Genomic DNA, 14,427 nt, shown 5'->3' on the forward strand with positions numbered 1-14,427 from the left:
ATTCCATTTATGTAAAGATGATTACTATTTTCTGTCATGCACAGTACAGTTCTTTCATGAATATTGTTAGGAGAAATTTTATAAATTTCATAAATGCTTTTGGTTTTTTTTACACTGTTTCATATGGATAGTAATAGATTATAGTGTGATATATATATTTAGACCCTGCATTCAGGGTCTGAGTGCAGCAGCCAGCATTTAACTCTTAGCTCAGCACTGTTTGACTTTGAGCAATTTAGCTAACCTCACAGAGCATCATTTTTGCCATTTGTAATACTGTGAAAATAGTGACACTTAAAGAGTGTTGTGTATTGTTTGTGTTCTGACTGCTACACTGTTCCCCTTTCTTGTTCCCTTTCCTGGAGCCACCGTAGTCCCTGAGACATGACTATATTGAAACTAGGTCAATTTATAACCCTACAATGGCCTCTAATGTTCAAGTGAATGGAAGTGTCACACATCTCTTTAAATAAAAAAACTAGAAGTGATTAAACTTAGTGAGGAAGGCATATTGAAAGCTAAGATAGGATGAAACCTAGGCCTCTGACACCAAACAGTTAGCTAAGTTGTGAATGCAAAGAAGAAGTTCTTGAAGGAAATTAAAAGTGCTACCCCAGTGAACACACAAAGGATAAGAAAGTCAAACTGCCTTATTGCTGATATAGAGAAAGTTTGAGTGGTCTGGATAGATTAAATCAGCTACAATATTCCTGTAAGACAGAGCCCAATCCAGAGGAAGGTCTTTACTCACTTCGATTCTGTGAAAGTAAAAGAGGTGAGGAAGCTGCAGAAGAAGAGTGTGAAGCTCACAGAGGTTGATTCATGAGGTTTAAGGAAAGAAGCTGTCTCCATAAAATAAAAGTGCAAGATAAAACATCAAGTGAAGAAGCTGCAGCAAGTTATCTGGAAGATCTAGCTAAGATCATTAGTGAAGGTGGCTACACTAAACAATAGATTTTCAATGCAGACAAAACAGCCTTCCATTGGAAAAAGGTGCCATTTAGGACTTCCATAGCTGGAGAGGAGAAGTCAATGCCTGGTTTCAAACCTTCAAAGGACAGGCTGACTCTCTAGTTAAGGGCTAATGCAGCTGGTGACTTTAAATTGAAATCAATGCTTACAACCATTATAAAAATCCTAGGGCCCTTCAGAATGATTCAAAGTCTACTTTGCTTGAGCTCTATAAATGGAACAACAAAGCCTGGATGCCAGCACATCCATTTACAGCATAGTTTACTGAATAATTTAAGCCCACTGTTGAGACCTGCTGCTCAGGATAAAAGGATTTCTTTCAAAATACAACTGATGATTAACAATGCAGCTGGTCATCTGAGAGCTTTGATGGGTATGTCCAATAAAATTAATGTTGTTTTCATGCCTGCTAACACAACATCAGTTTTATAGCCCAGAGATCAGAGTCATTTTGACTTTCAAGACTTATTACTTAAGAAATAGGAGGTGGGTGGTCACTTAAGGTCAGGAGTTTAAGACTAGCCTGGCCAACATTGCAAAACTCTGTCTCTACTAAAAACACAAAAATTAGCCAGGCATGATGGTACATACCTGTAGTCCCAGCTACTCGAGAGGCTGAGGCAGGAGAATCGCTTGAACCCAGGAGGCAGAGATTGCAGTGAGCCTATTTTGCACCAGTGCACTCCAGCCTGGGTGACAGAGTAAGACTCTGTCTCAAAACAGAAAAAAAAAAAAAAAAAGGCTATAATTTCCATGGATAGTAATTCATGTGATGGATCTGGACAAAGTAAATTGAAAACCAACTGAAAGTAATTCACCATTCCAGATGCCATTGATAATATTTGTGATTCATAGGAAAGGTTGAAATAGCAACATCAACAGGAGTTTGGAAGAAGTTGATTGCAACCATCATGGATGACTGAGGGTTACAAGACTTCAGAGAAGGAAATAACTATAGATGTGGTGAAAATAGCAAGAAAACTAGAATTAGAAGTGAAGCCTGAAGATGTGACTGCATTGGTGCAATCTCATGATGAAACTTCAGTGAAGGAGAAGTAGCTTTTCTAATTGAGCAAAGAAAGTGTTTTTGTTTTTGTTTTTTTTTAGATGAAATCTCCTGGTGAAGATGCTATGAACACTGTTGACATGATGTGTAGGGAAAAACTTTCTAAACCATGTTTTTCCTCTGCCTCATGCCACAACAATCATCACAAAAGCAGAGTTCGATGACAAGAAGTGTGGGGGTTTTCCACACACACACCAAGCAGCAAACACCAGCTGGATGTCATCCAACTCAGTTCCGACACTATCTACATGGAAATAGTTAGATCCCACAGGTTGCGAGCTTAGTCCCCAAGATTGCCCCCTTCTTTCAACACTAGTCACAAGTCCAAGTCTCCAGGACTACCGACAAGCTTCAAGTTGGGGTTCTCATTACCCCCTCTTTGGGTTTGATTAATTTGCTTGAAGCAGCTCACAGAAGTCAGGGAAATGCTTATTTATGTTTACCAGTTTATTATAAAGGATACAAATGAAGAGATGGATCAGGTAAGGTATGGGGGAAGGTGTGTGGAGCTTCCATGCCTTCCCTGGCATGTCACCCTCTAGGAACCTCCAAGCATTCAGCTATCAAGAAGCTCACCAAACCCAGTCCTCTTGAGTTTTTATGGAAGCTTCCTGACTTCAGCATTCCTTCCCCCAGGATGTAGGGTGGGATCCTGTCTGGGGAGAGTCTTGAGACTAACAATCAGAAGGGAGGGGAAAGATTAGGGTCCTGCCTTGGGGCAAGTGAAAGGAGGGCTAGAGGGAGATTCTGTTTTCTGAGGCCTGATATACATGATAACAAAAAGTCTGTAACTAGGGTTAAGGGAAATAAGAACCAGAAAAGGTGGACAAAAACCAATATATATCATAACACCACACGTGACAACAAAGAATTTATAATATTACATAAAGTTGGTTGATGAAGCAGTGGCAGGGTTTGAGAGGATTGTCCCAGTTTTAAAAGAAGTTCTACTTTGGGTAAAATGTTATCAAACAGCATTGCATGCTATAGAAAAGGCAAACAATTTTTCCAAGTGATGTGGCAAACTTTATTGTCTCATTTTAAGAAACTGCCACAGCAACCCTGACCTTCAGCAACCACCACCTAGATCAGTCAGTAGCCATCAATATCCAGGCAAGATTCTCTACCAGCAAAAAGATTATTATAATTGTTAGCTTTTTTTTAGCAATAAGGTATTTTAAAGTATGTACATTTTTTAATGGTATGGCACACTTAATAGACTATAGTATAGGGTAAACATACTTTTCTATGCAGTGGGAAACAAAATTTGTGTGACTCAGTTTATTGTGATATTCACTATATTACAGCAGTCTGAAACCAAACTTCCAGTATCTGCAGAGGATGCCTATATTCTGGGCATGTTTACATTTATCTAATTTTCTTAACATTTTCTAGTGTTATCTCATCTGTAAACATGTGACTAGCAATAATTTATAGAATGCTTTGGGACAAATAATACATGGAAGCATTTAACATGATAGCTGACTCGTGGTAATAGGTGAATAAATATTTGTCCCCTTCTGTATCATTTGATAGAATTTTTCAAGTTGTCTCACATGTGAGGGACAAAATAAATAAATGTTTTAGAACAAAAATAAGGTATTATGTCTAATAATTCAAATAATTTAAAGGTCATTTATATTTTTTTAAAAAAATCCAAAGAACACTAGAGAATCAAAATCATTTTAAAAATTAACTTCATACTAGTAACAGGCCACTAGTAACAGTGTATGGAAATGAAAAAGAGGTATTATTCTAGTTATCCAAGAGCTTAATATTAAGTTAACTAGCGAGAGTGGCAAGAGGCAGCCAAATGCCTAGGCAGATAGTGGCAGGTCCCCACTGAAATCCCACCTCTAGCCGAAGACAGTTTAAAGCCTGAAAGCCACACTACGAGTTAAACCCTCAGACTGCATTGAGAACTTGTCTTCCTGTTTGGCGTGCTTTCCTCTGATTGATCCCCACCCTTCACCTATTTTATATATACCTTCCCTTTCCAAATTGGTTTTTCACACTGTCGTGCCCACCTTTGAGTGGTGTCTTTGCTTTAACCTTTTTTACAACCAGCATACACTCCCCATTCTGAGTCCGTAAAAGGCCCCATACCCAGCCACATGGGGGACTTTCCCACCTTCAGGTGGGGGGACCACCCCTGCATCTCCTCTCTGCTGAAAGCTGTTCCATCACTCAATAAAATTATTTTCTGTCTTCCTCACCCTTCAATATTCACCATATCCTCATTCTTCTGGGGCACGAGACAAGAGCTTGGGAAACGCTGAATGCTGGTATAAGCTGGGACATGCCAGTGTGGCCAAGAGAGGCCCAGGTGGGGCATGGCTTGCCGAGGGTCCCCGGCTTGCAAAGAGACCATGAAGAAAAATCTTACCTTACTAGCATTGCTGAAGGAGAACAAAGAAGAATAATGGCATCCACCAAAAATCAAAGCAATACTGTCTCAAACATTACAGCAGAACTTGGAGAAAGGTGTTAAAAAGAGATAAAAAGTGGACACAGAAAAAAGAGCAAAACAAAGCAATATTCTAGTTACATTTTTAAAAATAATCATTAGGATGATTTAGAACAAGTGTTTGTAACTCTGGGGGTCTCTGAACCCTCATTTGTAGGACTAGATGTCTGCAGTGAGAAAATAAGAAAGGAAAGAGAAGAAATGTATTCTACACAGAAGTAGGGGAAAGTTCCTTAAACTATGAGTCACAGCTATTTATATCCGAACAAATGTGCATTTCCTATTAGTCCAGGAGATTCTGTGGTCTTCTACCCATGCATTTGTATAAAGAATTGTCCTCTGTGTATAAGCTGCATCTCTAGAATATGAACTCCTTGAAACTACCTAGCAACACTTAAGTACCTAGACCAATTTGGACAGACAGCATTATTGGGTTGTCTTGGTAAATATTGGTAACTTCAATAACCAAGAATGCTCTAAAATCTATAGCTAGACAACAGGCTATCTCTGAACTAAACTTTAGACAACAGTCCTTGGTAGACTTTTTTTTTTTTTTTACTCTATTATGTAAAAGTAGAGACTTATCTAGTAATAATTCTAGCTGGTTCATAAATCTCTGATACCATTAATTTCTCTATTGAAGATCTCATTGTTAGTATTTATTATACCAATCTTCTGTTCTAAAGAGATAAAAAATAACTAAATTTTGGACTTCTATTAAAGGCTAGGGACCAGCTCTAGAATGAATGTTCTCGACCAGGGTGACTGTCCACTTCATGAAAGTAGACTAAAAATACCAAACTCTCATATATACACAATAATATATATCAAAGTATTTGAAGTACATTATAGAAATCCTCACAGTAGGGGTCACATTTTCTTCCACTTTGTGGCAGAGTTCTGAGCACATAGTGACCATGTGATAAATATTAATTCAGTATGTGAGTGTATGAGGATGTATGTCATCAATATTCTTTGACTGCCTTAAGTGTTCTGGGAAAAAGCCATATTTTTGGTCTCATTTAGCATATACTGTAATTCTTATTTTTAGGGTGTATTTATTTTTGTTTTAATTTATTTGATTTGTGTTGCATATACAATATTGTACCCATCAAATATTGCTTAATTCTTTCATATTGCAAAATAAACAGCTATTATAAGCCTGAACTTGTTAGTCTTGCTGGGCCCTGCCCAAGGTTGCCCTCATCTCCAGCTTTCCACAAACTGGAATATTCACTGATGCTTTGTTTCTTCTCCCAGACCAGGATACATGTTGTTATGTGGTTCCTAGGAGGACTGTAAAGTCCTCTAACAAAGACAAAGGATGGAATGAATCAAGGGAATTACTATGAGAAAGTAGGGATATCCCTGGAGAGGGGACTGTTTCTGTGTGCTTTTAGACATCACAGAGTAATTGTTTCTTTTTTTAAAGGAAGGAACCAGGGTGAAGAGCAGCTCATTTTTAAGCTGGAGAGGTTAACAAACACTGGCTGCAAGATTTACTTTGGTTTAGGAATACCACTGTCTCACAGGAGTGTCAATCAAAATTCCACAGCCATTCTTCGACACTAGGAGGTGGGACTGACTGATGTACAGCAGTGATTTGACCCAGCACTTGGGGCAAACACAACCAGAGTCTTCGGTGTTAATTCCCTGGTCTTCCCAACTAGCATTCTGAAAGTGCATTAACATTTGTGGCCTTGTGCTCTTTCATCGGACTTCTAATGGTAATTATGCCTGTGTAATCACAGTAAAGTTACCTAATCTAAATATGTAAGATTTCACACTTTGCTTGCAATACTTAAAATTTCCTACTTTGATCTGACTTTTGCTTTGTTCTTGTCCAGTTTAATATATATTTGCATTTCTCTCTCTTCTCTCAGGGCGTAGAATTTATGGAGTATTGTAGGCATTTAGGCAGCCTGTTTCAAACTTTTAAATAAGAAGTTGTATCTAAAAGAAAGTAGAGGGATAAGTCAAATGATTTTTACTATGAGTTCTCAGTAATTGTTATGTTAATAAGTGGTAAGAAGGCATTCAAAAATATTTGAAATAATCTAAGTGCTCCAATATACACATGCTTATATGCATGCAACAGTGGAGGAATATCTTAATAGGGCAAATTCGTGTGTAGCCATCTTTTATTCTTAGGAATATATATATCCTGCCAGACATGGTCATCCCAGCACTTTGAGGCCAGGAGTTCAAGACCAGCCTGGAAAACACAGCAAAACCCTGTCTCCTGTCTCTACCAAAAATACAGTAATACAATAGTAGGATATACTTCCTAGTATACCCTAGGAAGACTGTTAAGTTATAGATAGTCATTTTTTAGCCAAAGATGTATTATAATGAATATGATTATAAAAATTTAGATTCTCTTATATTAATATTGTAAGACAGAGTGGTTGACTTCTCAATGTTGGAGCAAGCAGAATCTATCCTCCCCTGCTTTTGATGTTCAATAGTGACAAGTAGAGGTCACACGCAGTCTCTGCTGCTGGCATTCCTGGCATGGTCACAGTGACTACTGTGACTTGTTTGAGAGGTGACTTTGAACATTTATTTTACTTTCAGGTTAGATAATTTAGTCATTGTATTGGCTTGGGCTAGTGAATCTTTGTTACAACAGCCAATAGGATATATGAAGTAGTGTTTTAAAAAATTAGCCATTAAAGACAGTTTTCAATTTGCAAACCATTTCTAACATGTTTTCCATGGTAAGAATTAGCTACACGGAATGATACTGGGAAATATAGAAAAATGGGGGGTACTGGAACTAGCTAAAATTTTACAGATTACAGGTATAATTGTTTTGCTGGTCACACATGATTATTTCTATTGGTTACATTTTATTTGGACTTGTATTGTGATACATTGTTCTATAGAAACAAACTATGCCTTAACTTTGTTGTGATGATCTAAAACAGTTGGAAACTGAGCCTGATGTATTAAAAGAGAGTACAGGAGGCCATGGTTTGCCGCAGTGGGCATTGTGTGAAGATAAGGGACTGAAGAAGGTGTTTATAGATATGAAATGCTAATGCATGCTCATTCAAAAAATCATAACCTTGCTTGTATTTCAGATCTGTGCAATTCTATTTGTCATTTGGATGGCTAGTATTGTGACTCAAGTATTCTAGACAAGCTGTGATTAAATATTTCAACAGAAGACCTCAAAGAATTACTGATTTATAATTACCCACGTTACCTATGCTACAATAATTAGAAATAAAGAAATTGAAGTGATGTACTGTATAGTAATGCTACTAAACAGATATATGTTTATATGAAAAGGCAAGGAATTTATGAAGGCTAGTATTATGTAAATGACTGTCTCTAAAGAATTGGATGATATATTGCATTTTGTTCATTGATTCAACAAATATTTGTCTGCCCAATACATACCAGGCACTGACCATTTTCTGTAACTAACTTCATCCACTTAGCACTGCGAATAATCCAATAATTCCCCAGGACAAATATTATTATTCAATAAATTAAATGAGTATCAATACAGGGGGGTATTTTACAGAAATCACTGTTCTCCTGGGTAATCAGGGGATCTGCCATTGAGTTTGGTAGCACAAATTTTTGTATTTTTCCTTAAGGGATGATGAAAGATCAGTGGACTCCTAACTATCTGCAGTCTGTGGAGTCTCAGGTTGCTTAGAAACTCAGCGACTATGGGCTTGCTATGGCAACCCAATTTATTAGTGACTGCAAAACTAACTTAGCTGGCATTGTGGCAAATCTCCATATTTTGCTGGTAAGAATATTCAGATAAGTTCTTCTATCATACTAGTATTTATATTATTTACACTATTGAGCTAAATATTTATCAAATTTTGAAAATAATAAATTATGATTTATAATGGTCGAGAACTACATGAAAATGAAGCTTAAATTCTGAATGTATTTTTAGATTTCCAATTTACACTGTCTGCCGGTTACCAGGCCATTGCCTTAGCTTAAATCTACAGAATGTGATTTATGATTTGTACTATATTTAAAGCATGAGAAAACAAAACTAGTACAGTCTATTATCTATGTGCCAATAAAAATGGTCTGCAAATTTAGCTTTAATACTTCTATCCAATTAATAGATAAATTTATGTATGTATAGTATAATTTAATAATTTTGTTTTACATTACAAACTTCATATATAATTGTAAGATTTTACAGTATTATGTATTTTTAAAATCTTATGTCTTAATATACCATGTAATCTGATACACAAATGTATTAGAAAACCACTTTACTTGAAAAGTACATTTTTGCAATTGTGGGAAAGACATTAGGGAACATATTCTCAACCTTTGTTTGAGTATTTGTTCCCTGTAGTACATTTACAAAAATTTTGCCCTTTCTGATTTTAGTCATGCTTTTAGGTTCTGTTGTTTTACATGCTAACGAGTTCTATTGTTTTACACTGTATATAAACTACAATCTTCTCTGTACCTCTTCATATGTAAGTATTGCATTCATCTTATCTCCCTATTGATTCCAACTTTTTGTTTTTATCACAGTCAATAGCAGAAGCAGAGCCAGCATTCTCTCCTGAGACAGACTATTACAAGGTTCTATTTACTGTCCTTTTCTCCTGGGTTTTGGCATTTATGCATTTTGTTTTGATACTTAAGACTTCATCATATTAAAGGTTCTCTTGAGATTGAAAGAATCAGTCTGACTCAGGTTTTTACAGGACAATGCTACATTTGATTATATTTTAAATTTTTTCTTTATATTTTATCCATTGCCTTGTAATTCTGCAAATGATGAAGTTATTTTTGAATCCTCTAGTACATCAGTTCAACTAGGCTATGCCCCTGTGGTTGACGATATGTCTCATCTCACAGACGGAAACAAGTACAAAGAGAGAACTTAGGTTATTTTCTTGGAATTAATTCTCATTGGAACAGAAAAGCCAATTCCCAGGGGTCCTTGCTTAAGCCTCCAATTAGTACACCATATTGACCCCCTCCCTTAAAAGAGGGGCTTTTTTTTTTTCACTTAGACTACAGACCCACTGCTCTTTAACAGAATAAATGAGCAGTCCAGAACACTAAACAACCCAAAGGAATCAAACTCTTATCAAGGGATCATGTGTGTTAGCCTTTAAGGAGATAGTAGATTGGCATGTAAAAAAAAATTAGGTGGTAGAGTACAAATATTCAGAAGACTTGGAGAGGATTTTCAACAGGCAAAAGCAAAACAATACAACTATTTCATGATACACATTTAGTGTTTAATCATGCTTTTTGGTGTGACTGAATTATTTTAATACATTTTACAAAACTTTATTTTAATCAATATGTCTGTTTCTGCCAATGGATACATAAACACAACTGGTACATTGCATCATTTAAAATATTTGGGAAAAGCTCATTGTGTAGAAGCATGTCATTCATTCTTGTATTATAGTTAATAAATACCTGTGAAAGGGAAGAATTAAATCCCTTTATAAGAATATTTTCTAATGTGGAATAATCAAACTATTTACCTGTTTGCTACTTGAGATTTTTGCTTAAAAAAGAGTACATCTGTTCTTTATTCCATTACATGCATGATGTCTATTAAACATAAAAAAACGCACATCTGGAAAATCATCAGTGCATTTAAACTTGATCAGATACTGGAATAAACAAAGGTACTTCCTCTCCTACAAAAGTATTTAACATATACATGCATTTCTTTTAAAAATCTATGCTGTGATACATAGAGTTACTGTTTATTCAGCATCAAATAAAAAAAATTTGAGCACCTATTAGGTATCAGGCACTATTTAAAACTCTGGAATATAATGCTAAACACTACCAGCATGATTCCTGGTAATATGTTATAGGGAGTTTCATTGTGACCTACTCTCTTGCTACTTATGAATGAACAGATGATGAATTGAGCTATTTTGGAATCCTTTCTATAAGTGGAACACTAAAATATTCTAAAGCTATATAAATGAGTAAAATACAGTCACATGGTATATGTGCTTCATGTTATATTAATATCTATATTTGTTACATAGAGTGTAGAAAACCATATTGCAGAAACACTTTTTTTCTCCTCCTTTAAGAGACCTGGTTAAGCCATGTTTCTTGACTGCACTCATGAGCTAGAAGTTTGATTAAGTGTTTTAGTTTATTAAAAATACCTGTGATCTAATGCCTATGTTTTAAATAGAATCACAAGGTATCAGCTTGGGTGCTTTCAACCTGTGAACCCCAAATACCTAAGACAGATCCCAGTTAATTTAATCCCATCTACCCACGGTAGTCAGAGCACAGTTTGGTTTTATGCATTTTAGGAAGACCTGAGACATCAATCAACATATGTAAGATGAACATGGATTCAGTCTGGAAAGGTGAGACAACACAAAGCAAACACAGGACAACTCAAAGTTGGCAGGGGGTCCCAGGTCATAGGTAGATAAGATACAAATGGTTGCACTCTTTTGAGTTTCTGACTAGCTTCTCCAAAGAAGGCAATCAGATAAGCTTTTATCTCAGCGAGCAGAGGAATGACTTTGAATAGAATGGGAGGCAGGTTTGCCCTAAGCAGTTCCTAGATTGACTTTTTCTTTTAGCTTAGTGATTTTGGGGTCCCAAGATTTATTCTCCCTTCACAAACCTAAATTAGCTGAATCAATAGGAGGACAGGTTTGCCCACAGAATTGAAAACTCCAGTGTTAGCACTCTTCCGGCACAGGTGGATCAGATTGCTGGCTCTTCTTAACTTTCTCTGCTCTCTCCTTATTTGGATGGTAGGTTTGACACAGGCTGGCTTTCCTTGAGGTTGTAAGAGGGCCTCCAGCAGCATGGCTGTAGGCTTCCTCCTTATACATAAGCAGTGGGGATTGGAATAGAGAATAGATGATGATAGAAAAATCATTCCCACTGCTGTTCAACAAAGGAGCACATTTTCATGAGTTCTGGGCAAATGTATGTCCTATAACACTCTCTATTTAATTAAATGAGAATATTAAATAGTACCTTGACATTTTTAGAGGCAATACCACATTAATAGCTCCACATCAACATATGGAGAAACTTTCGAATCTTTCCCTCTGAACTTAGTGTTAAAGGGCATCTCTGGAAACTAACCAGCCAAGCAAGACTTTCTGGAAAACAAGGTACTCCTCACTACACAAGATGAATTATAGATGTGGAGTTGTGAAGTCTTGAAATGTTGCTTTCTTTCCTCTGGAAAATACTTAAGCATATTGAATTAGCCCTTAGAGGTTATAATTCAGTTAACTGAGATGGCTCAATTTTGTCAGATTTATTCATTGTTCTTCATGTGTAGAAATAGAAGCAAATCCCTCAACATACACCTTAACACTCATGTATTGGATTATTCTAAAATAAAAATTGCCTATTTTTAGTTTAAATCTTATTCACCTAGATTGTCTGGAGACTGATAAATTCAATAGTAGCCTTTTTTTTTTTTTGGTATCATGAAAAAAAGTATTCTAGGTAATTAATTTGCATCAAAAGACTTAGAAAGAAAACCACTGCTATATTTCTTTTATTTTTCACCTAACCTAGATGACATGGCAGATAAGCCAGGGAAAAATTAGTAAATAGCACAAGTTTCATCTTCATTTTTTGAATTTTAATAGTTTGAAGAATTAAAATATTTAATACTTAGGGTGCTAAATGTGAGGTTAAGAGACTAAGTAGCAGAATAAGGTTTAGTTTTGGCTGAAATATTTTTTGATGATATTTGCAGACCCATCATTGTGTGTCAAACTGTCATCGGGGTGGTATGCCCATCAAAACAAGGATCTGTTAAGTGGATAAAGTGAGCACATCCTTAAAAGGAGTAGAAGAGCTAATGAACTTACAGTTTCTTCTAATTTAGAGATATTTGTGTTTTTCTTTGTGGAATTGTATGAAGTTGATTTGGAGACAGTTACAAATTTACATACCTAAAACCAGGTACCATTTTGAAAGAAAATTAAGATAAAAATGAGATGTCAAATAGCCAAAAATCAACAGAACAGACAAATGTAGGATAATCAAAGAAGAAAAAATTAAGAGAAAAGTCTATACTGAAAGCTTATTATAAAAATCAATCTTTTGGGATGTGCTTCTCTATAGCATGGGAAGTACTTGATGCTTTTAATTTGGGATTCCAGAAATGGTGTGGTTTCCATGTTTTTATGGATTTATTTCACCTCAAATTTTTGTTCACTGCAGGCTCCTTTCCTCCTGCCTATTTTGATTACCCAATTTTCCCGGAGGGGTTGTTGAAAATGAGAGGAAAACAGGCCTAGCAATGATCTTGGATCAAGTCCAGAAAATGTTCTTAGTCCTTGGAATACATTACATGGAGGATGCCACTCCAAGCCTTGTAAATGCAGCTTGGGAAAATAAATACGCTTAGAGTATTCACTCTGAACACGAAAGCACAGTGTGGTTAACAACAGGAGAATTGCAGAGTATGCCGAAACATAGAAAACATAAACATTTCAGTTTAGATTTATTATCTTCACCCATGAACTGGGGCACTGTAGAATAGAACAGTTTGCATACCTACATAACACAGCTGAGAGACCTTGGGCTCCAAAAACCAACAAAACATCGTGTCCGAGAAGTCTCTGAGGATCTAAGTGCAAATTGAGCAGTGCAAAAGTAGCAGGGCTAGTGGTGTCTTTTGAGAGTGACATTCTGTAGCAATTAAGATTCCATACCTACTATTGTTTACTTAATTCACAACCCCAGAATACAAAAGAAAAGTGACATTCAGAATCTGAAATGGGATGATCACAGTAAATATGTTTGAGTCCTTCGTTGTTTGCTGGAGAACAATGAGGATGATAGACACTTTCATAAAGGCAGGGCTCATGATAACTAAACCTACATAGGAGAGTTAGAAGGATGAAAGATTTCTTTCTGCATAACCACAAGGTAAAGTATTTTATCAAGTCCATTGTAACTGCTCCATAATGTGAAGCAAATTTTAAATGCTGCTACTTAAGTTTCAGGGCTAAAATGAAGTTTAATAGGTAAGTTAGACTTCTCTATTATTCAAAGTTTAAATGTGGAAATTCCAAAGTGAAGGTTTTACTCTACTGCTGATAAGTTTGCAATTTTTTTTTTTTTATTTCAAGAAGATAACCAGCTATCACAAAGACACATACAGGACAGTTGAAGGGTTTCAGTGTTTTAGAATGATTCTGAAGTTCTAAGATATTTGTCTTATGTATTATAGAATAGTAGTCTGCCACTTTTCATTATCTGAATTCTAATATTTTCTAGAATATACTCATGTAAACATGATATAAACAAAGTGATTTAAATAATTCATAACATTTCCAGAAAAACATTTCTGGAAGTTTTATATATATTTTATATATATACATAAATGATATAAATAATGTACAAAACACACATATTTGTATTTGTTTTTTACAAAGTATTGTATAATGCTTTGTTAAAACCAAAAATGCATTTAGTGTAAGATGTTCCCACTGTTAATTCTATAGATGCTTAGAAATCTTAAGAATATGTGTCAAGTTATTGCAAGGTATTCATTTGAGAAGTAGCACTCCAAACTAAACCTGTTGGTCTCTTGGAAGAGCTTCAGAAAACTGAAGCTTGTCCGAGAGCAAAACCTTCCCTTAAGGTTTTTGAGAACCAACCTGGAAAATGATGTTATGATTTCACTATAGGATTTGATAGATTGTTTTATATTCCTTTGAAATTATTAGCAGAAGCTGCTGTGCCACTCAAGTGCAGGGTTTGTGCCAAATAATTCTGTGAAGTCTCAGGGCAGAATGATCACTTCTCCATTTAAAAAAAAAAAAAAACAGAACAAGAATGGTATCACAGATGTATTATTTCCTGTGTTTCTTTTAAATTATTTTTGTATGCTTCTTAGAAACTTCACCCCACAAGCTTTAAAAAAATGTAATCAGGC

The 14,427-nt window shown here is 35.7% G+C and overlaps 1 protein-coding gene across 17 annotated transcripts in view; it reads left to right on the forward strand.

Moving 5' to 3' along the window:
- CD36 (CD36 molecule (CD36 blood group)) overlaps positions 1-14,427 on the forward strand; it is a 77,068-nt gene that overhangs the window by 15,752 nt on the left and 46,889 nt on the right. For 8 of the 17 annotated variants that reach the window (XM_047421046.1, XM_047421041.1, XM_047421043.1 and 5 more), the window contains exon 1: positions 6,134-6,232. The exons of 7 other annotated variants lie outside the window; for them this stretch is intronic. The gene's annotated coding sequence lies outside the window, so the exon portion shown is untranslated. Of the gene's footprint in view, positions 1-6,133; positions 6,233-6,992; positions 7,054-8,217; positions 8,275-14,427 lie in introns of those variants that run through there. 2 more of the 17 variants (XM_047421049.1, XM_047421047.1) reach the window with 2 other exon arrangements.

Source organism: Homo sapiens, chromosome 7 (assembly GCF_000001405.40).
Source record: "Homo sapiens chromosome 7, GRCh38.p14 Primary Assembly".
Lineage (NCBI taxonomy): Eukaryota > Metazoa > Chordata > Mammalia > Primates > Hominidae > Homo > Homo sapiens.